General features: G+C 37.2%; 1 long non-coding RNA gene across 2 annotated transcripts; it reads right to left on the bottom strand.

The window, feature by feature from the left end:
* Positions 1-3,577: 3,577 nt before the first annotated feature.
* LINC00161 (long intergenic non-protein coding RNA 161) lies at positions 3,578-4,615 on the bottom strand. Of its 2 annotated transcripts, none has more exons than NR_026552.2 (2): positions 4,049-4,615; positions 3,578-3,880 (listed from the first exon to the last, which is right to left on the bottom strand). It is a non-coding gene; the product is annotated as a long intergenic non-protein coding RNA 161 (long non-coding RNA). The 2 variants fall into 2 exon arrangements; NR_026553.2 differs by having other exon boundaries at positions 4,405-4,615.
* Positions 4,616-25,137: the final 20,522 nt, after the last annotated feature.

The following is a 25,137-nucleotide window of genomic DNA, read 5'->3' as shown; positions in this document are numbered from 1 at the left end:
AAATTAGGAAAATGAAATAAAACATATCTTAAACATAGTATTAGGAAAATGTTATAAGAGAAAGAATGGGAAATCAGTTTTCACCCAGTAGAATGGCTAAACTCAAAAAGAAGATACACTGCACACATCGATTATTCTTTTCTGCCACCTAGCACCAAAACTCTCTGTAATACAGTTTGATGAATTCATACCTTATGAGTTTTGGTGGGAGGCACAGACTGCCTCCTACCAAAAGTTGTAAACTTTTAGATGCTACATTTTACGGTTTCCCATATAGTATGATTTAGACTCCTTCAAGTAGTATGAGAAACAGACGTGGTACCTTTGATGGAAAAGCAGACTTTTTTCTTACTCTCTATTCTCAACACTACACTTCAACTCTGGTCACCAAACTGGGTGTGAGTTTTTCCCAAACACCAGACAATTCTCTAGTGGACACCAGCTGGGTGTCTTCTAATTCACCCAACTATCTACTTGGAGTTAGTGTCCGATTTCATAGGTCGAGGGCTCCATTCCTCAAGACTCCCCCCAACTTCAGATGCCAATCACATGCTCCAGGCTTTGGCCTGTGCTTCTGAACAACCAGCTATAAATTGGGGTTTCCATGATCTCCTTGGTTCAATTAATTTGCTATAGTGGCTCACATAACTCAGGGAAACATTTTATTTACATTTATCCATTTTTTAAATACAAAATACTACAAAGCAAACAGATGATCCGCCAGATGGAAGAAATGCATAGGCAAAGACATGTGGAAAGAGGTACAGAGCTTCCATGCCTCTCTGGGTGCATCATCCTCCAGGAACTACCACTTATTCAGCAATCTAGAAGCTCTCTGCACCGTGATCTTTAGTTTTTTATGGATGCTTCATTACATAGGCATGATTAGTTAAATCACTGGCCATTAGTGGTCAACTCTACCTTTTGCGCTTCTCCCCTCCCCAGAAGTTGAGGGCTAAGGTTGAAAGTTCCAACACTCTAATCACATGATTTGTTCTTCTAGCAGCCAACCAACTCCAGTCATGAGGTTATCCGGGTACACACCAAGAGTCACTTCATTAGAACAGAAGATGCTTCTGTTGCCTAGGAAATTCCAAGGGATTTAGAAGTTCTTTGTCAGACACTCTTAGCACTCAGGAAATTATAAAGGTCTTAGAAGCTCTGTGCCAAAACTGGGCTCAGAGACCAAACATTAGAACAAAAGATTCTCTTAGCACCCCTATCTACGAGGTTATTAGGAGCTCTGTCTCAGGAACCAGGTGCAGATACCAAATATATATTTCACAATATCACAGTAAGAAATTCTCAGCCGGGCGTGGTGGCTCATGCCTGTAATCCCAGCACTTTGGGAGGCCAAGGTGGGTGGACCACCTGAGGTCAGGAGTTTGAGACCAGCCTGCCCAACATGGCGAAACCCTGTCTCTACTAAAAATACAAAAATTAGCCAGGCATGGTGGCACATGCCTGTAATCCCAGTACTCAGGATGCTGAGGCAGGAGAATAGCTTGAACCCAGGAGGCAGAGGTTGCGGTGAGCCAAGATTGCACCATTGCACTCCAGCCTGGGCAACAGAACAACTCTGTCTCAAAAAAAAAAAAAAAAAAAAAAAAAAAATTATCTAGAGGCAGTTGGCAGTTACTGCAAGTTTAATTTTTTGGTGCAGAATTGGTAGTAGTGTGCATTTTTATTTTCCATGATTTTGGAATGGTCTTGTTTATTTTTTCATTAAATTAATGTATTAAAAATTGAAAAAATAAACACCGGGCACGGAGGCTCACACTTGTAATCCCAGCACTTTGGGAGGCTGAGGTGGGTGGATCACGAGGTCAAGAGATCAAGACCATCCTGGCCAACATGGTGAAACCCGTGTCTACTAAAAATTCAAAAATTAGCTGGGTGTGGTGGCGTGCGCCTGTAGTCCCAGCTACTCAGGAGCCTGAGGCAGGAGAATCTCTTGAACCGGGGAAGCAGAGGTTGCAGTGAACCGAGATTGCGCCACTGCATTCCAGCCTGGCGACAGAATGAGTGATCAGATCAGGGTAATTAACATATGCTTCATCTCAAACATGTATTTTTTGATCACTTCTATGCAATCCTATGCACTAGAATCCTAATGGACGCTGTATTGGATAAATATTTTAGGCTTAGGTAGGGTGGATTAAAAACTTTCTTTATGAGGTTATACCTATGAATTAAATCAAATACTTGAATAAATAAGGTATGGTGTATATTTCTTCAGACAGAGGCAAAAAGAAAGACACTTCTCCATTCCTTGTGGATATACAGCAAATGAAGAAAATTGCTAGCACAAAGAATGGCAGTCTTGTGTGCTTTGTTTTCAGGGTAACAGCAAGCTCAGATTTCAAGCATCTGCATTTGCTAACTTCTCTGTACTTATTCCAAGGCCAACTAAGAGAAGATAATTCCTATTCTTTGTGAGAGAGTTTTCATTCCACACAGCAAGGTAATAAGCTGTAGGTCTCTCATGAAATAGGTTACTATGATGGTTTGGGAGGGTTAATAGGCAGACACAGAGTTTTTAAAGCAGTGGAAATGCTTTTGTGTGGTACTATGGTAATAGATACATGTCTCTATACATTTGCCCAGATTCATAGAGTGCACAACAGCAATAGTAAACCCTAATATTAACTATGGACTTTGGATGATTGTGATGTGTTGATATAGGTTTATCAATTGTAGCAAAGGTACCACTCTGGTGGGAGATGTTGATAATGCAGGAGACTATGCATGTGGGGCAGGAAGCATATGGGAAATCTCTGCACCTGACTCTTAGTTTTTCTGTGAACCTAAAATTGCTCTAAAAAAAATAAAGTATTTAGAAAATTGCTATAGTGCCTATTAGCTAAGATTCCTTTGCCTTTGTGGCCCCTCTCTTCACTGAAGGGTTGCTGAAAGGAATGGGAAATTGTCCTACAGCAGGCAGTAGAAGGCAGGGGACTAACAGATATCACCATCTCCATTTGTAAATGAGGACAGCTATACTTAAAGAGAAAGTATTCTGCTCAAACTCTACAGTTAGTAAAAGGCCAGTATTTAAATCCAGAAGTTACTCCAATCTTGTGTTCACAACCACTGGACTATGCTGCTTCCCAAAACTCACTTATTAGCATGACATAATGACAGTGTTTGGAAAAAGCTTTTCCACTCCGGATGTGTTTTATGTAAAAAATAATGCATGCTTATTGAAATGAGTCAAATAATACTGAGTCATATAAGGAAAACTTTAATGTTATCTGCTTCCACTTTCTTGTTATAAACTCACTCCCTTGAAGTAACCAATGGCAACAGTTTGATACTTATCTTTCCATGTGTTTATCTGCTCCATACAAATAGATCCCCCCAAAAAGCACAGAGGGGTTTTTATCCCTGTCTTCTTTAAAAATTGGATGATACTCTTTATATTGACCATTCCTTCAGGTATTTTAATAGATATATAATTATGTGTATAAATATATATGGCTTATATGTATAACTATATATGACATATATATATATATATAGTATATGACAATCTAGTGCTTTTTTAATGTGTAAAATAGATTCCCAGAAAAGATAATACTGGGTCAGAGAATACATTTATTTTTAAAAATTTTATAAAAACTAGCAACTTACTTTTCAAATTGTTTTACCAATTCACACCTCCATCAGCACTGCTTAAGACTGGCAATTTCCCCACACTCTTACCAGTCCAGAATTTTATCCGGTATGTCCATCTGAATGCCCACACACAGACAATTCCATAGCTGGTTCATTCAGTAGCTCCACAATTTTAGTTCTCTGTGTTAACCGATTTGTAGTCTATTTGGCTCTTCCCTCATATCCACAAGATGGCTGCTGCATGTCTACAGTTCTCTTCTTCCTGTGAAGATGTAAGCAGCAGAGACTATCCTGGGTGACTTAATCATAAAAAGGCTGTTAAAGGATGATCACTAGCTCACAGAATCACTGGGGAGGCTGAAGAACCAGATTTAGGGACAAATAGAACAATAGTCAAGCCATTGCATAGAAGTGATCAAAAAATACCTACCTAAGCCTAAAATATTTATCTAATACAGCATCCATTAGGATTCCAGTGCTGCTGTAACAAAATGCCACAAACTGGGTGGCTTAAACAACAGAAATGTATTGCCTCACAGTTCTAGAGGCTCAAAGTCCAAGATGAAGGTGCCAGCAGGATTGCTTTCTTCTGAAGGCTCTGAGGGAGAATGTTTCATGCCTCTCTAGGCTTCTGGTGATTTTCTGTCAATCTTTGGTGTTCCTTGGCTTGTAGACACATCACTGTAATTTCTACCTTCATCTTCACATGGTGTTCTCCTTATATGTGGACCTGTGTCCACATTTCCCCTTTTCACAGACACCAGTCACATTGGATTAGAAACCCACCTCACTCAAGTATGACCTCATCTTGACTAATGACATCTTCAACAACCCTAACTCCAAACAATGTCACGTTGTGAGGCACTATGGGACAGGATCCCGGCATATGACTTCTTGGGAGACACCATTCAGCCCACAACCATGTGTTAAAAAGAATCAAAGAAATAATGTGCATAAGTTGTTTAGCACAATGTAAACTGTTTGGTAGATGTTATTAGCATTTTATACAGTCAGTCCCAATGTTTTGTCACTTGACATTTAGCTGTTTCGCTCATTTAATCTGATAAAGAACTGTTCTTTTCTTTTACTATGTTGACTTACTCATTTGATGATGTTTAGCCACATCAGACACACTTCTTCAGGGATCATGAGAATCTATATTGGAATGTTGTTTTAAGTTGTGGACCTCAGCCAAACATTATTTCATCAAAAGACTCATGTTGGTGGCTATAAAGATGGAAAAAATAGATCTGAGAAATCCAAAAGTGGGGAGGGTGGAAAGGGGGACAAGAATTGAAAAACTACCTATTGGATACTATGTTCACTATTTGGGTGATGGGTTCTCTAGAAGCCTAAACCCAGCATTATGCAATACACCCATGTAACAAGCCTGCATATGTACCCTATGAATTTATAATTTGAAAATAAATAAATAAAAAAGATTTCTTTTTTACACACACACACACAAAAGAGGCTGAAGTTGCGACTGACATATCAGCAAGACATAGTGTCTTCTCAATCCTAGCCAGCCCCAGATGTAGCATTCAAACAAAAACAAAAACATGTCTTTGTTCCTGCATTAATTCACTTAGGATTATGGTATTGAGCATACATGGACATACACATGGGAACATTAGGCACTGTGGACCACTAGACAGGGGAGGGAGCAAGGGAGATGTGGGTTGAAAAACTACCCATTGAGTACTATGCTCAATACCTGGGTGCAATATACCCATGTAACAAACCTGCACATGTACTCCCTGTGTCTACAATAAAAGTTGAAATTAAAAAAAATAATAATAACATGTCTCTAACTTCCCCAGTTTTAAACCTTGGAACTGTTAGCAGAATTTGTCAGAGGATCTCACAATTTCGAGAATAGAAAAAGAGTTCAGGCCGGGCACGGTGGCTCACGCCTGTAATCCCAGCACTTTGGGAGGCCAAGGTGGGTGGATCACGAGGTCAGGAGATCGAGACCATCTTGGCTAACACAGTGAAACCCTGTCTCTACTAAAAATACAAAAAATTAGCCGGGCGTGGTGGCGGGCGCCTGTAGTCCCAGCTACTTGGGAGGTTGAGGCAGGAGAATGGCGTGAACCCAGGAGGTGGAGCTTGCAGTGAGCCGAGATCGCGCCACTGCACTCCAGCCTGGGTAACACAGCGAGACTCGGTCTCAAAAAAAAAAAAAAAAGAAAAAATTCAAATGACATAGGATTTCATTTCACGTTCAGAGTTCAGCTTGAAGCTACCACTGTGGACCACTCTTAGAAACTGGAGCCCTAGGGACATGAGTTCCTTGTGAATCAATGCATACTCATTGTATTGATACTCAGCCAACTTAACACGTGGTCTTTAAGGATGACCTTCCTAAGATGTTCTGTTAAACATAGGTATTTATCAAAGTGATTTATTTCTTCATTGGCCTTTTTTACATCACACTGGAGAAGAATATACAAGTGACTCAGATGCATTAGTAACCACAATGGAAATAAAACTTTCTCTTAAAAATTGCATTTTAAACATTCATTTAGAAGATGAGCAATCTAAAATGGTATTTCTATTGGAAGTGGTTTTCTGTGAAATCGTGACTGCTTTCTCCACCATTCGTTTTTTCCATTTACTATCAGTATGTCAATATTATTTTGAAACTTTAGTCAATTGGACTACACTATAAATCCAAGTTTTCATTTTCCCTCACATTAACTTTTCTTCATCTCCCTTTTCAGCTATTAGTCATCATTGTTGATGCCAAAGTCCTTAGCACGTAGAGTTCAATTAGCTTGACAAAGTGTATTAGTTATGAAACAATTTGCACTTTATTTGCTGGCTATTGTTTTCAAACCAGTTTAACTAAGTAACTTACATAAGTAAATAGGAAATAACAACTAGCAAATAATTGAAGCTCAGAGTATAGTTCTTTTGAAGTAGGTGAGTATATTTTGGCTGTTGGACATTGAGTCCTCAGCAACTCTAGACTCACCATTCCTAAGCTTTTCTACTCTATAAACTTTCCTTAATTTCACATTAGCCATTCATGTGTGTGATTATACCTTGAAATTTCTCACCACCGGATCTGATTCTCTTAGGAAACTGAAAGCCAGAAATTTCCTACTTTAACAAAAGGACCCTTTATTTTTATCACTCAAATTATCTTGCTCCCTTTTTGCCTGTCCTTCAACCCTCACCATAATTGTCAAGTTCTTAACTCTGCTGTGTTCTCCAGATCTAATACCTTTTGGTGGTTTTATGAAATTTATGGTAGATTTGTCATGACACCTTGACAATCTCAAACTCTGGACCAATGTAACTAAACAAATTTTTCTATTCCTTGGCTTCTAAGTAGGCTGGAGAAAAATCTATACCAATGCTTTTCTGATTTACTGTAAAGAATCATCAGAAGACAAACATAGTTTAATTTCAGGATTTTATAGTCACTGTTCTATGGATACTTCACCAACATTATAAATGGGTGCTCTGGTTATTTGTAACACCTGTTCATAACATTTTCTATATGAAAATTCTTGCAGCCATAGTCTTTCATGGAGAATTTAGACCTTCATTTACTGATTTGCCCATATTTGCATCAGCCCCAGGAGTGAGTAAAATGTTGGCTCTGCCCAAAGTCACTACCTTGAATCAACTCCATACAGTCATTGGATGAAAGTCTATCCAAGCCCAAGTCTTAGTTAGGCTCCTCATTTTAATAAGGGGATGTCAGTATCCCTGCAGGCCTATTTGATTGTCAAAGCATGATAATCCTCTAGCTATTCCCTACATGCCATGTATAACCTTCAGGTTTTAGCCAGAGAATGTAACTTAAAATGCTTTGCCATGTAATTTTTATCAAAAACTCAGTTTGAGTAATGCTATTCATGGATAACTTACTAAAGAATTTGTAGTCTATGCGTTTTTTAATGTATTTTAAATTCCATGCCTAGATCATGCCAAATTAAACCACATTTTTGTTTTCTTATACAATTATTAAATATTTTTATAGAGTTTATGTGTTGGAACTATGCCTTTGGATTTATTTAGGGAGGCCAGTTGCAATGTTGCTCACTCTACCACTTGGTGCCCTTTTCATGAGGATTCATGGAAGAAATTTCGATTAGGTTTCTGTGCTTGAAAAAAGCTTTTCTGAAGGAATGTCAGTTTCCTTCTCTGCTTTGTTAACTATTAATAGCATGCTTAGATTGTAAATGTAGGACAGCTATATAGTAGAATTTTATATTATGCAGTTTGGGATATAACGTTCACCTTGGGCATTATTTCACCTGTACTTATTTTCTCCTTGCCTCAATTTTCTCATCCTATTTTTTATACTATATTTTCTTAAAATGCTGTTAAAAATCCTTTATAAAAATTAAGCAGAGACTAAATTTATAACTCAACAAGTAATGCATGAAAAGAATGACCTCTACCAATATTTTCAGGAAAGACACATAGTTATAATGTCTTTTAAAACAAGGCTATTCTGTTGGCCTGAAATGGCTTAGTGGTCTCTCAAAACTGAGCTGACAGTGGCCTCCAGCAGAGAGCCAGCAAGAAAGCTAGGTGTTAGTCCTACAGAGGTAAGCAATCGAATTCTGCCAACAACCCATGAATGTGGAAGATGACCAGTAGTCTCAGAAAAGATGGTAGCCCCCTCTGACTCCTTGATTTCAACCTAGTGAGACCCTAATAAGCACAGGATCCAGCTAACTTCTGCCAAGACTTCTGACCCGTAGATACTGTAGTGAGGATTAAGCTCTGACTTTTTATCTTGGCCAAATTCTTACCCAAGAGGTCTAGGGAGTTCATGCCCTACAAACCATCAGTTCTCATTAGATGGGTTTTATTTGACCCTATATATCGTGACTTACTTTTCAATCTGACTCTGGCATAACATTATGAAACAAGGAAAAAGTATTTAACCCCAAAATATATTTCCTTGCCATACCTTGAAATTGCCCTGAGAAGTCTCTTGTGGGAAAAATCCACATTCTATAAAGAATCCCCTCCCCCTTTTGTTTTCCTTCCATTCTTTGCAGATCCAGGAGATAATCAGCTAAGAGCCAGGCACCCTTTTAGGTCTGATAAGAAACATTTACAACCTGTTCTCTCTCTGAAGTCTGCTGAGAGCTTCCTCTGCACAATAAAACTTGGTCTCCACAATCCTTTATCTTAACCTGGATGTTCCTTTCCATTGATCCCAGGTCTTGAGATAAACTCAACCACTTGTCAACCAGAAAATGTTTAAATTTACCTATAGCCTGGAAACCTCTGCTTTAGTTATCCTGACTTTGTGAACCAAACGAATGTATTTATTCAATTTTGTCTCATGCCTTCCTAAATGTATTCAATTGATGTCTCATGCCTCCCTAAAATATACAAAACCAAGCTGCACCCCGACCACCCTGGGCACATGTTCTTAGGACCTCCTCAGGGCTGTGTCATGGGCCATGGACACTCATATTTGGCTAAGAATAAATCTATTCAAATATTTTACAGAGTTTGACTCTTTTCATTGACATAAGATAATAAATTTGTCTTGTTTCGAGTTGCTAAATTTGTGGCAACTTGTTATATAACAATGGGAAATTGATGAAGAAACCAAACAACCCAGGTATACCAACATCATGATAAAGCCTAGTAAAGATAGTGAACTTGAAAAAATGTTCTTTGGACGTTCAGCCTAACAGACAAATTAATTAATAATGCAAATAAAATCAAGTCATAGTTAAACTTGCTTATGTCAACGATTCTGTTCTTGCAAGACCTACCTGGCCTCAAGAGAAATTATTTTCCAGGGCCCAACACATTGGTGTTTTATCAGCACCTAATTGACCTGGGGAAAGCAGAATGCCTAACTCCAGCCTGTGGTATTTTGTTATGGCAGGCTGAGCAGACTAATACAGACTTTAATATACAGACTAAAAGTAAAGGGATGGAGAAAGATACCCCTAGTCAAAATAAAGAAAGTAGTTATGTTAATCTAAGACAGAGCTGACTTCAAAGCAAGGAAACTTATTAGGGATAAAGAGGGTCAGTTCTTCAAGAAGACATAATAATTATTTATGTTTACATGCCTAAAAATAGAGTGTCAAAATATCTGAGACAAAAACGTGGAACTGAAATGAGAAATAGATGGATCCACTATATAGTTGGAGACTTCAATACTCCTCTATCATAAATGAACAGACTCAGTGACAGATAATCAGGACATACTTGCACTCAACACCACCACTAGTCAACTGGATATGTTATAAATGACATCTATAGAATACTTTATCTAACAACTGCAGAATACACATTATTCTGAAGCTCACATGGAACATTCAAAAGATATAACACAGTTTGAGCCATAAACCACACTTCAACAAATTTAAAGGAATAGAAATTATACAATGTATGCTCTCAGAACACAATGGAATTAATCTAGAAATTAATAACAGAAAGATATATGGAAAATCTCAAAATACTTGGAAATTAAACGACACACTTCTAAATAATGCATGGATCAAAGAATAAGTCTCAGGAGAAATTTTAAAATATCTTGAACTAAATGAAAATGAAGATGCAGCTTATCAAAATTTGTGAGATGCAGTGAAAGCAGTGATTATGGGGAAGTTTATAGCATTGCACACATATTTTAGAAAAGAAGAAAGATCAAAGATCAATAATCTAAGCTTCCACTTTCAGAACAGAAAAAGAAGAGCAAATTAAATTCAAAGTAAGCAGAAGAAAATAAATACAAAAATAATAAAAATTAGAGCAGAAATCAATAAAATTGAAAACAGGTAATCAATGAATAAAAATCAAGAAAACTAAAAGCTGGTTCTTTGAAAAAGAATCAATAAAATTGAGGAATGTCTAGCAAGGCTAAGAAAAAAATAAGAGAAAACATAAATTACTAATATTAGAAAAGAGGGATTATTATTACAGATCCCATGGACATAAAAAAGAAAACAGAATACCAGCGATAATTCTATGCCCATACATATTTGATAACCTAGATGAAATGGACCAATTCCTGCAAAGACATAATCTTTTTAAAAAATAAATTTTATTGTGTATACTTAAGGTATGCCACATAATGTTTATAAATATATGTATAAATATATAGAACTAAACATATATATTTAGTAAATATACATATTTACTATACATATTCACTATAGTATAGCACGCCATCTCTCTTGCTCCCTCTCATGCAGTGTGACATGTGTGCTTCCTCTGTGCCTTCCACCATGAGTGGAAGCTCCCTGAAGCCCCACCAGCAGCAAATGCTGGTGCTATGCTTCTTGCACAACCTACAGAACCATGAACCAAATAAAATTATTTTCTTTATAAATTACCCAGCCTCAAGTATTCCTTTATGCAAAACAGACTAACACACTTCCAAAACAGAAAGCATCAGGCCCAGATGGATTCACTGGGGAATTCTACTAAACATTTCAGCAAGAAATTATACCAGTTCTTTACAACCCCTTTCAGAAGATTGAAGCAGAGGGAAGACTTCCTAATTCATTCTGTGAGTCCAGCTTCACTCTAATACCAAAGCCAGACAAAGACATTGTATTGAAAGGAAAAACCTACAGACCAATATCTCTCATTAACATAGATGCAAAATTCCTTGACAAATTATATCCAGTTACACATTACAGCAAAGAATTATTCACTAAAACCATGTGGGATTTATACTAGTTATGCAAGGCTTGCTATGCAAGGCTTGTTTAGAAAATCAATTAACATATTCTAGTACATCAACAGACTAAAGAACCAAAATCACATAATCATAGCAATAGATGCAGGAAAAGCATTTGACAAAATACAAAAGCAATTAATGATAAAATCATCAAACTAGGAATAGAAAAAGGAACTTCCTTAACTTGATAAATAATATCTACAAAAACTCTACAGCTAGCCTTTACTTAATGGTGAAAAAACAGAAACTTTCCCACTAAGAACAGGAACAAAAGAAGGATGTTCCCTTTCAATCTCTTAACTGGAAGTCCTAACTTACATAGTAAGATTAAAAAATGATATAAAAGGTATACAAATAAGGAAGGAAGAAATAAAACTGTCTTTGTTCTCAGATGACATAATTGTCTATGTAGACAATCTGAAAAAATTGACATAAATCTGGATCTAATAAATATATATAGCAAGGTTGCAGGACACAGATTAACATATAAAATCCAATCACTTTCTTAATATTCCAGCAATGAACAAGTGGATATTAAATTACAAACACAACAAAATTTACATTATTAGCCACTCCAAAGTGAAATACTTTAAGTATAAATTTAACAAAATATGTTCAAGATCTATATGAGGAAAACTACAGAGCTCTGATTAAAAAATCAAAGAAAAACTAGATAAATGAAGAGATAGCCCATGTTTGTGGATAGGAATACTCAATATTTTCAAGATGTAAGTTCTTCCCAACTTGATCTATAGATTCAATGCAGTGCCACTGAAAACCTCAGCAAGTTACTTTTTAGATATTGACAAAATTATTCTAAAGTATATATAGAGAGGCAAAAGACCCAGAATGGCAAACACAATATTGAAAGAGAAGAATAAAGTCAGAAGACTGACACTACCTAACTTCAAAACTTACTATAAAGCTACAGTAATAAAAACAGTGTGATATTAGCAAAAGAATAGACAAATAGATTAATAGAATGGAATAGAGAGCCTAGAAACAGACCTACATAAATATAGCCAACTGGTCTTCGACAAAGGAACAAAGGGAATCAATGAAACCAAAATAGTCTTTTCAGCAAATGGTGCTGGAACAGCTGGACATCTACATGCAAAAAGAGGAATCTAGGCACAGACCCTGCACTGTTTATGAAACTTAACAAAAAATGAGTGACAGACCTAAATGTAAAACAAAAAACTATAAAAGTCCAGGAAGATAATATAAGAGAATATCCAAATGACCTTGGGTGTGGTGATGACTTTTTAGATACACAGCAAAGACAAGATCCATGAACAAAATAACTGATTGGCTGGAGCTTATTAAAATCAAAATTTTCTTCTGTGTGAAAGACAATGTCAAGAGAATGAAGAGGCAAGCCACAGATAGAAATATTTGCAAAAGACATGGCTGATAAAGGAGTATTATCCAAAATATACAAAGAACAAACTCAACAATAGGAAAAAAATAACCCACAACCAATTAAAAATGAGCAAAAATCTTGTACAGATGCTCCATCAAAGAAGATATATAGATGGCAAATAATGAAAAAAATGGAGGTTGAGGCAGGAGAATCACTTGAACCCGGGAGGCGGAGGTTGCAGTGAGCTGAGATCGTGCCACTGCATTCCAGCCTGGGAGACAGAGCAAGACTGTGTCTCAAAAAAAAAGAAAAAAAATGGGTCAACATCATTTGTCATTAGAGAATCGTAAATTAAAAAAAAGAGACATCCCTAATGGCTAAAATCCAAAACACTGATAATACAAAATGCTGGTGAGGTTGAGGAACAACAGGAACCCTCATTTATTGCTTGTGGGATGTGAAAAGGTATTGCCATTTGGAAAACAGCTTAACAGTTTCTTATAAAACTTAACATAATCTTAAAATCCAGCAATCACTCCCTGGTACTTACTCAAATATGTAAAAATCTTATTCTACACAAAAATCTGCACATAGATGGTTATAGCAACTTTATTCATAATTGCTAAAACTTGAATGCAACCGAGATGTCCTTCAGTAGGAGAATGAATAAACAAACTGTGGTATATCCACAATGGAATATTATTCAGTGTTAAACAGAAATGAGCTAACAAACCATGAAAAGAAATGGAGACAATTTAAGTGCATATTATTAAATGAAAGAAATCTATATGAAAATGTTACATACTGTATGATTCCAACTATATGACATTTTGGAAAAGGAAGGATAATGGCAGGGTGAGTGAGGGGTGGTCAGGATGGTTAATGGGTACAAAAAGTAGTCGGAATGAATGAATCAGACCTACTGTTTGGTAGCACAACAGGGTGACTATAGTCAATAATAACTGTATATTTTAAAATAAAGAGTGTAATTGGATTATCTATAACTCAAAGGATAAATGATTGAGGGCATGGATACCCCATTCTCCATGATGTGCTTATTTCACATTGCATGTCTGTATCAAAACATCTCATGTCTCCCATAAATATATACACCTATGTACCCACAAAATTTTTTTAAAAATCAGTATTTTCCAGGGGTTATAGGAGAGGGAGGGATGAATAAGTGGAACGCAGGATTTTTAGGGGCATTGAAACTGTTCTATATGCTACTATAATGGTGGATACATCTTGTTATACATTTGCGAAACTCCGTAGAATTTATAATAAGACTGAGCCCTAATGTAAACTATGGAGTGTGGTGATGATGATGTGACAAGTGGACCACTCTGGTGTGGAATGCTGACAGTGGGGGAGGCTGTGCACGTGGGGCAGAGGGTATACGGGAACTCCATACTTTCTTCCCAACTTTTCTGTGAACGTTAAACTTATGTCAAAAAATAAAGTCTATTTTTAAAAAATCTCCTTAGCAAAGAAGACCAAACTAGACAACATAAAAGTAATTATTTTTATCTATCTATTATACGTCTCTCTTTCATTATCCCTATTCTGTCAATTTTTCAATCTCTCTGTTTCGAGTTGAGAAAAACCTAGTGCAGCCTTATGACATTAGGAAGGGTCCACTACTTGTGTAGTGAGGAGAGTTCTGGAGTTGGGAGGGAAAGAGAAGGATGTGAAATTCAGCAATAGACTTTTCAGTGTACCGGTCAAAAATTTCCCAGTGGTTTTCCTTGGGAATTCCTGTGCACTTATTCTTTCTTCCTCCAGTCTATTTCCCTTTCACAATACACTCTCACTTTAAATAAAGGGGGAAAATAAAGGATGTCTTTTAGTTTTGTGTTGGAAAGTAACCCTCTTATATTTACCTTTTCACTGCTGAGTCTCTCAGCCTTAGAAGGTTTGAGAGATCCAGACTGCCTTGAGCCTGTTAAGGCTCTCATGCTGATCTTGTATACTTTTCTTCCATTATATGTTATTCCATATGCATATTGCATTGAGATGTGTAAACCTTGCTTACTACATTGACCTTGCATGATGTGTATAAAATGTAGTCAATTGATTTGGTCAATTGATTTGCTTCTATAAAATACTGAATTTCCTATCAAAAATTGCTAGAAGTTATAATTTTATTTTCCTCATGGTTTTGAAATGCAGATGCTGAAGGTAAAACAACCATCTGTAACGGTTATTACAGTTTGTGCAGTTGCTTATTTGAAAGGAAGGTGCTGAAATTTATCTTCTTAATTTTTTTTTCAAGCAGAAGCTTGCAAGACAAAATGATTCTACTAGAAACTCACAGTTCCTTGTATTAAGAGCAGCATCCAGTGACATAATTAAAGAGGATGAGGAAAGGAAACCATCATCAAATATTTCTGCACTTAAGAGATGGTTTATCTCATCAAATGGGATAAATATATAAGTCTATCAGCTCTTCCTTCACCTCACAGACTTCATTACTCATCTTATACCCATCCTATGTTCTTGCACGTGAACTATTTCAAGTTTGCCCCCAGCAGTCTTGCTCTTTGCTGTTCCCTGTTGGAGACTCCCCACAAACTCCCAACTTAGGTTCAATCCATTTTTCCTGTTCAATTTGAATGTAGAATTCTCCTATGACCATTCAATAACACTTGTGAACAGGATGTGAACTGTTGTAGTAGGATCTGCAAACATGGCTGCCAATTCTTCCCATGTCTGCAGCTCTATGCCACTTCATTCTCAAGAGGAAGAGTCTACTTCCCTTCCTGCTGAATCTGGGCTGACCCTGTGTCTTCATTTGACTAGTAGAATATACAGAAAGTAAAAACATGTGATTCCAGAGGTAGATTTTAAGAACCCTTGAAGCTTCCATTGTTGAACTCTTGGGACCCAGCACCATGTAAAGAAGCTTGAGTTCCATTGACTCGCAGATCTTTTAGCCACACCGAATGAGTCACTAGATATGAAGATAAATCCATCTTAGTAGCTCAGCCCTGATCAAGCATCCTGTTGAATGCAGCTTTAGGAGTCAATATCATGTAGCGAATATCAGGAAGAGAAAACAAATCATGTAGATGAGCCCAGCCAATCTATAGAATCGTTAAAAAAGTCATTGCTATTTTAAGCCACTAAGTTTTGGGATTTCTTTTATGTAGCAATAGGTAACTAATACAATTACCAAATCTAAACATTATTCTACTTTCAGATACCTCCCTTACAGGAGGGGAAATAAAGTATGGCTGATGTATTTGTTGAAAATAATGGAGCCCTTCTCCAGTTTCTTCTAATTATTTCTGTCTACACTTGTTAGAGAAAAACAGTGCTGGGCTCTTGTTAAAGGTGGCAAGACTATTTAATTAGACTTACTGCAGTAAGTAAAGAGTCTCCAGTATAGACTGAGCCCCTGAGCTCAACTCCAACTAAGACAAAGATAACTGAGGTTTTTAAGGGGAGAACAGATAGGACACAAAAAAGGACTTACGGGGAAATAAAAAAGGAAAAATGGACTAGGGAGCCATGTGGAAGTGGAAAAACTACAGAAAGGGGTAGGTGGAGAATTACTGCGAATGGTTTGGCAAGATGGGTTGAAACAATGTATTTTTTATGATTTGGAAGTGCTGTACGTTCTTGGGTGAAGATTCGGTACAAGGCTGGGGTCACTGTTAGGGACATGGCTTCCACCCATGACAGGAGGAAGTCAAGCTAAAGTTTGGTCAAGTCTCTGAGCATAGTGTCTGGGGAAGTCTTTTGTGCCATGTGGGACTTTATGTTTTTACCCTTCTTGCAGGTGACCTCAGGTCCTTCTTCATTGGATGAGATACAGCATAAACTCTCAGCTTCCATTCCAATACATTCTTCACTGGGGCCAAACAGGTGTTGCCCTACTTAAATTTTCTACATATTTTAAGGTTTTCAGGTTGGCAGCTCCCATGGTTGACTCTTGGGATCCAGCACCATGTGAAGAAGTTTGAGCTCAGAGAGCCCCCAGATGTTTCAGTTACAGTGGATAAAGCACCAGATGTAAGAATGAAACTATCTTAAAATTTCAGACACCATCAAATACTCTGTTGAATGCAGTTGTGGGAGTGACCCCAGCCAATATCATAAAGGTATGGTTCTAGTTTTACTTACCTATCATCTATCAAAGGAGTTAGCAAAATATACCTATGGGCCAAATCCAGCCTACCTCCCTCTTCTTTTGGTAAATAAAGTTTTATTGAAACATAGCCATGACCATTGTTTTATGTGTCATCTATGGCTTGCTTCATATTACAATGACAGAGTGGAGTGGTGACAACGGAGACTATATGACTTACAATATCTAAAATATTTACTAGCTGGCCTTTTATAGAAAAATTTTGGTGAAATTTGCTTGTGAATAAATGAATAAAAAGTTTCTTTAAAAGGATAAATCACATTATGAATAAAGTATAGTGAATTATTCAGGGTAACTCTAGCTTCCATAAACCCCAATATTTTTATAATTTAAACAAAACTAAAGTTTCTCTGTTGTTCACGTAACAGTTAACAGGTTAGAAAAGCAGTCCCTCCTCATGCAGTAATTCAGGAAACCTGGTAAATGGAAATTCTTCAACGTGCAATTTCTGAGTAACCCTGGGTGAGAAATAATGTGCCCAGGAAGAAGAGTAGACAATGATATTTGGTGAACAGGTAGCAGATCCTTCCACAAATAGTTTATTACCACTGCTATAATTTTATTAACAATCATCCTCTTTATGCAAATGATTGTTCTAGTTAGTTTATTAAGCTACCACTTATTCACATGAATAATTCTAATAAAATTCTTCTACCAGACACCGAGGTGAGATAAATGACACTTTGGTAAGGATCATGACTTTGGTAAGGACTCAGGGAAGAAGGCAAATCACCTTTCGGTCATGGAGCATTTTGAAGGGAGAATAGTTTTCACATTGTGGGACTTCTGTTATTCAGAAAAAGGCTTAAGGCATTGAATTTTTTAGGATGTTGGGGAGATAAGTGACCAGAAAGGCGTAAAGGCAGACAGAAAAAGAAATGTGAGGTTCTGGAGGACAAGCTTTGCATCTTTGTCATTGGCTGCTCATGGCACAAGTTTTCAGGGAATGAACAGAGTGTTCTTGAGAGGTAGCATCTTGAGGCCACCCTGGAGCAGGAGCCAATTGCCTTTCAGGCAAAGTGACTCGCTTTCTTTTTGAACAGTTTCCAAAATAATATTAATAACAAAAATGATGGAGACAGTAGATTACAGAGCTCTAGAATTTCAGTGATAGAAATGAGAAAGCGATTAAATTGAAAATGTTTTCTTCTGGCAGATCAAGCTGTAGTTGTGTGGTTATAAATTCTGCATACTCATTGAGTCTTGGAACTCATGGAGATTGAGTCTTGGAGGAAAAATAAGCAAAAGAAAGATAAATTCGTTCCTTAAAAGACAAATTTCCTTAAAATTGTAATTTCAGGGGAAAATGTATGTCAGGTAAGAAATTAGTAATTTTGAAGAATCCTTCTATGTCTAGAAATTTAAGTTTCCCAATTGCTCCATGTACCAATTAGATATCTATTGAGCCAAAAACAGGAAAGCTAAGGTGTACTATAGTCTCTCAAGTAGTTCAGAAACACCAATTCACAGCCTAAGACAGTATATAATGAAGGAAAAATGTCTAGGACTCATTGCAGATATATGGTTCATTCTCTGGGGAAATTAGAGGATTAGCAAATCAGTTATCTATTGCTAAAATAATGCTGCATAGCAAACCATTCAAAAACTTAGTGGTTTAAAACAAAAATTATTTATTATTTCTCACAAGTTTATAGTTTGGCTAGTTGGTTATTTTCACCTAGGCCAGAAATATATGCTCTTGGTTTGGCTGATTCACACATCTTCAGTCAAATGGTAGGCCAGCTGGAGTTTGCTGTTCTAGAATGGCCTCAACCTGGATGATAAGGCTCTGCTCCATGTGGTCTGTCATCTTCCAACTGCTCTTGTGATCTCGTTCTTGTGAGGAAGACAAAGGAGCAAGAGAGAGAGGTCTTTGCTTAAAACTAGTATGCTGTTACTTGCATTACATTTTACTGGACAAAGTGAATCACAAGGTAGGCTAAGTTTCAAAGAATAGGAAAACAGACTCTACTTTTCGATGAGAGAAATTTTAAAGCCACCTGGAAAGGGTATGGATACAGGGAGATGTAGAGAATTAGGGCCATGTTTGCAAACAGTTTATTTCATTGAATTTTATCAAGGAAATCTTGGTAGAGGAAGGTACAACTTAGCTTGAGCTTTGAAAGTAAAGGAAAGAATAGGGGGCATTTTTTTAGGCAAGGATAACAACATAAATGAAGCCTGTAGTAGTAGTTTAATAGAAAGAAGGAGTTTGGTTCTACAGCGTGTGATACAAAATTAGGCATGTATTGAGCTGCTTCGGGGGGGCTAAACTGGCTTATATTTAGTATAAATCAGAATATCTGTACAGAATAGATCATAAATTCATCAATTAAGATATGGAAATATACTTATACGTGGTGTTTAAACTCCTGCATGATGGGATGTGTGCGTTTGTTTTTATTTGCCTTTTATGCCTGAGGACAATGCTGCTGTCTTCTTAAATTCAGCACCTATTGATTACCCCAGATAAAAAGTTCTCTTCACTAGCTCCATTTTATTTATGACTTATAGCAGGGTTACAGATTGTAAATACCCTTACACATTGTTTGAGAGCAGGGTGGTCAACCCTAATAGTCTATTTAAAATCTCAAAGGTTCAAAGAAGTATCTCTGAGAGTTGTGCAGAGATATAGTACAGGCTCTATTCCCGCCAGAAACGTGTACATGAAACTTAAAAAGGAAGGGGCTTCTCTATCTTAGAAATTCTCATACTTTTTGATCTTAGGACCTTCTTACATTGTTAGAAATTTGAGGATCCCAAAGAGTTTCTATTTCGGTTGGTTCTTTCTGTTGCTATTTACTGTATTTGAAATTAATATTGAGAAAATAAAAAATATGTATTTACTAATACATTACAAATAATAGTAATGGACAAAAGCAATTAATGAAAAATACTAAATTTATTTCCATAAATGACATATTTCTGTGAAAAGTAACTATTTTTTGAAACAAGGAAAGTGAGAAAACGTCATTGTTTCACATTTTTGAAAATCTTTTATGTCTGGCTTAATAGAAGACAATTTCTTTTATCTGCTTCTGCATTCAGTCTATTACAACATGTTATTTTGGATGAAACATATAAAGAAACTTTGGCTTCATGCAGATCTTTAGATGGAAGCGGGAGAAAACTGTAGGGTCTTAAGAACCGTATTTGGAAAACGCTTCTGTTTAAGAGCTCCATAAGATTTATCATGGCAGAAAAAATAAAAATTAAGAATGCAAAAAGAACATGTAACAAATTGTGATGTTTTTCTCCCCAAAGTAGGCTATTCATTGTGAATTTCCAAAAAAAAAAAAAGAACACCTATTTCCTCTAATTTATTAATTTGTTATAACAACAACAACAAAAAAAAATTATGATTTTTGGGCCAGTGCCCCAAATCTCTTAGTCATCATGCCAAAAATGCAACAAAATAGAATGTTAACCATGGGAAAAAGTTTCAAAGGATCTGACCAAATGCCCAGGATGAATTTGATAAAACGGTGACCTTACTCACATATAGCTTACTTAATAGTCAAGGGATTTTTTTTTTCACCGCTCAAAAAATTCCAGCCAATTTCACTGATATTCTTCCTTGTTCCAGAAACTTCCTCAAAGTTGACCTTTCATTCTCTGGTGACCTGGGCAAGAATTTCTCAGAAACCAAAAGCCTGGCTGTTCAGTTGGTTTGGGAGTGGCATTTCCTAAAGTTTTGATTGGAAAAGAAACCTGGAGTTCTAACAAATTCATTTTTAAAGAAATGAATTGAAGTTTCTTTGCCAAATGCCATATGCAAAGTTTATTACTAATTCTTAATAAACGTAATGCAATTGATAGAGAACGTGAAAGTGAATTATTAGTTCTGGTTTTAAAATCCCATTATATGATCTATATATTTCTGCTCCACTTTTAAAAGTTGCTAGTGATATTGGTATGCATCAAACCCTTGTGGTAGATTATACATGATCGAATAAATGATTTTAAATAACAAGAATTTTATAATCCAATTATAAAAATATACAATATTTAAAAATAAGACAAACGCAGAAGGAGAGATAATCACACAGTCTTCTCCAAAAGCTACCACTCTGTTTTTTTGCATTTAATTTTATTGGCATTATTAACAAAAACATACCTTACTCTGATTTACAACTTTACTTTTTGCTTTAGATATATGATGATTTTTTTCCCTTACATTAACCATAGACATAGTTTTTAGAAAAAAATGAAACAGACAACATATTTGAGGAGATGGGGGTCTATGTTTACATGTAAACAATGACTTAGAAAATTTGTAAAAAGTGACCTCAGAGGGACAAAGGGGAAACAAATCCCTTGGAAGCCTTGGATCCTCCCAGGCAGCTGTGGCTCTGTGTTTCCTTCCTATTAAGAGGGATGTGTGGTTTGTATTGTCCTCCTGGGAGAATAATTCTGTCATTTCCATTAGGAAGATGATTTATTGAGGGCAGTTCCTTTTTAAGATTGAACAGGAAAACCAGTGTTGCAACCTGATGGTGCTATTTCCTTTGTAAAACGCTTCAGTGCTGAAGTTGTAGCAATTACCTTGGCCTTGAACTGAATCACAGACACCTCTCTGATCCCTTCTGTAACCTTATCTGGTAACACACAACGGTAACCACTGTGTCCTCTTGGTTTGAGGTGGGTGAGAATCAGGGCATACAACTCCCAGATTTCTCATAAGAGGGCATCCAGCCCTGTAACAGATATCCCCCAAGGCCATCGTGGAGCAGCCGGGATGCTGCGTAGGGGTTACAAATGCAGATGCAGTTGTTAAAGGGAATTTGACTGCAGCTGGAAAATAATTTTCTAAGAAGGCATATGGCAAAACGTTTTGCTTCCGTGTACCAATATCTCTGCGTGCCTCCTTTATTCCTCATTGAACCTCGGGGAATATTTAATAGTTCAGTCCTTCTTTTAAAGGTATGGTGAAAGGCAGCATCACTGCATCCCAGCAGAGGGCAGTTTCCTCAAGCCTATAGTACACCATTGCAGGTCTCATTCATGCTCAGATGGTGGTTGTTCACACCTTGTTCTTAAGAAAAGTAAACTTGTATTCAGTGACCTAGTTACACAGCAGCTTGGGCTGTGCTAAACAGTCATTCATTCAGATACTTCCTTTAGAAAACTAAAGTGAATCCAGTTGCGGTTTGCAGAAACAAGCTCCACAATGAGAGTAAAGAGATCTGGGTACTGGTCTTGGATTTGTCACTAAATAGCCATTGTGCTGGTGACATTAAGCAAGTCACTTTAGCTCAATTCTGCATCTCTGGTGAGGGGTTTTGGACAGCATGACCTGAAGATTTTAGATACAGTAGAATTTTCACATAATACCTCTATAACCCTGATAAAAATATATTTCGTAGCTGAGGGTTTGGAGTTAAAGAAATAGAGATTCTTCTTTAAAGTAATGCTAATTCAGATAGTTTACCTGGTTTGCAATATAAGCTTTATAGGTTATCCCTCTTCTACAATTGCTGAACTAAACCATCTTATATATTAGGAAAACTCAATTGGGCATGACTGTGAGAGTGAGAAGAACAGATTTCTGGGCCTGTGTTGGCTTCTCTCTAGCTATATGACTTTAGGTGAATCACCCCAACCTTCTGATTTCCAGTTTTCTCATTAGCAAAATGAATGGGTTGAATTAGATCAATGTTTCCTCCAAAAGGACCTGTGATTAAATGAGTCTGGGGGAAAAGGAGGTAAAGATAAGCAGGGGTCTATACTGCATTGATTCTGAAACCATTTCCACAGAGTCATCCACCACAGATTTACTGGGAGCTGCCTGTCTGGTAAGACCTTTTCCAGGGTAACCTACTTTAAACAGTAAACAACTGTTCAGCCTGTCATTGACCAATCAGAATGAATGCTGGCTGCAACTCTGAAGTGGCTCTGAGACCCCCTCTACTAGTCTGTTCTCATGCTGCTGATAAAGACACACCCAAGACTGGGTAATTTATAAAGGAAAGAGGTTTAATTCTCACAGTTCTACATGACCGGGAAGGCCTCACAATCATGGCAGAAGTGAAGGAGGAGGAAAGTCATGTCTTACATGGTAGCAAGAAGAAGGGCTTGTGTAGTGGAACTCCCACTTATAAAATCATCAGATCTCATGAGACTTATTCACTACCACGAGAAGAGTATGGGGGAAACCACCCCCATGATTCAATTATCTCCACCTGGCCCCACCCTTCACACATGGGGATTATTACAGTTCAAGGTGAGATTTGGGTGGGGACACAGCCAAACCATATCACCCCCAAGTGGAATCTGGTATTTGTTTCTGGATCCTGGGGAGTCTGGATGCTCCTTCAGTGGTTACTTATCAGTCAGCATGGAAGTATGTCAATATTTTCACAACTGGTATGGCCCTACCTACCTGCACACTCTCACCCCTGTGCTGTCCGAGGTTGCAGTGCCTTCTCTAGCCTTGTCTCAGAATATATGATCCAGGACCAACAGCGGCAGCAGCCCTGAGAGCTTGTTAAAAATGCTAATTCCTGGATTCCACCCAGACCTTCTTAATCAGAATCTGCACTTCTGCAAGACCCCCAGGTGATTACTGTGTTCTTTACAATTTGAGAATCACTGGCATGCAAAACAGGTCTGGTTTATTTAAAATGCACAGGGCTGATTTGCTGATGTCTACAGGAGGGCAAATAGCTTGAGCCCAGGAGTTTGAGACCAGTCTGGGCAACGTGACAAACCCCCCTCTCTCCAAATATACTGGGTAAATCTGTGGTGGATGACTCTGTGGAAATGGTTTCAGAATCAACGCAGTATAGACCACTGCTTATTTTTACCTCCTTTCCCCCCAAACTCATTTAATCACAGGTCCTTTTGGAGGAAACATTGATCTAATTCAACCCATTCATTTTGCTAATGAGAAAACTGGAAATCAGAAGGTTGGGGTGATTCACCTAAAGTCAAATAGCTAGAGAGAAGCCAACCCAGGCCCAGAAATTAGCTGGGTATGGTGGCGCATGCCTGTGGTCCCAGCTACTTGGGAGGCTGAGGCAGGAGAATCACCTGAGCCCAGGGAGGTCAAGGCTGCAGTGAGCCATGATGGGGCCACTGCACTCCAGCCTGGGCAACAGAGTAAGACCCTGTTTCAAAAAAATAAATAAATAATAAAAAAATAAAGTGTAGTCTCTTTATGATGACTTGGCATAGAACCCTTTTATGATGGAATATATTGTGGGATGAGTGGTCAGTGAAATACATTTTGGAAAACATTGAACAAGATATCTGAAGTTCTCTCTAACTCTAAAATTCAATGATTCTGAGACAGTTAAATGTTCTCACATTTCTCATTTGTTCATAATATTCTTCAAATCAGTTCTACTATAAATTGGATTTACCATTGCCTTTGGGCACTCAAATGTCAATAAAGATTGGGGATATTTTTAGAACTTTGATTTTAATTTCTGAGATATTAAATTGATAAGGAAATGAAAATAATCTGGAACCCAGACAATATGTTTTGTAGGGGCCTAGAGTTTTTTAAAAAAATTATTTATATCTTATCATAGTTTATTTTTTACTGTAGTGAAATGCATATAACATAAAACTTACCATTTTAACCATGTTTAAATGTATAATTCAGTGACAATATGTACATTTACCATGGTGTGTGATAATCACTGGTCTCTATTTCCGGAGCTTTTTCATGATCACAACTGAAATTCTGTACGCATTAAACAATAAATCCCCATTCCCCCCACTTCAGCCTGTGGTAACCTCCATTCTACTTTCTGTCTTTGTGAATTTCACCATTCTAGGTACCTCATATGAATGAAGTTATACAATATTGTGTCTGCCATCTCATTTAGCATAATGCTTTCAAAGTTATCTATATTGTAACATGCATCAGGATTTCATTCTTGTACGTGGCTAGATAATACTTCATTTTATGTGTATACCGCGTGTTGTTTATTCATTCGTCTGTTGATAGATACTTGGGTTTCTAACTGGCTATTGTGAATAATACTGCTACAAACATTGGTCTGTTTGAGCCTCTGTTTTAATTCTTTGGGGTCTATGTCTAGTCATGGAATTGCTGGATCATGTGGTAATTCTATGTGGAGACTCTGAACTGTTTTCTATGGTGGCTGCAGCATGTTACATTCTCACCAACGATCCACAAGGATTACAATTTCACCACACCCTTACCATGAAAGTGTTTAAAGAAAACGTTTATTTGATCCATTCTTGCTTGAGATTTGTTTTTGCAAGTGTTCACTGAAAAGAAAAGGATCAGTAGATCTGGCTAAGTCCAATGACTCATTTCCCTATTGGATGGCAGGCTGGCAG

Source organism: Homo sapiens, chromosome 21 (assembly GCF_000001405.40).
Source record: "Homo sapiens chromosome 21, GRCh38.p14 Primary Assembly".
Lineage (NCBI taxonomy): Eukaryota > Metazoa > Chordata > Mammalia > Primates > Hominidae > Homo > Homo sapiens.
The sequence above is the reverse complement of the archived record's forward strand: the minus strand, read 5'-3'. Positions and strand labels throughout refer to the sequence as shown.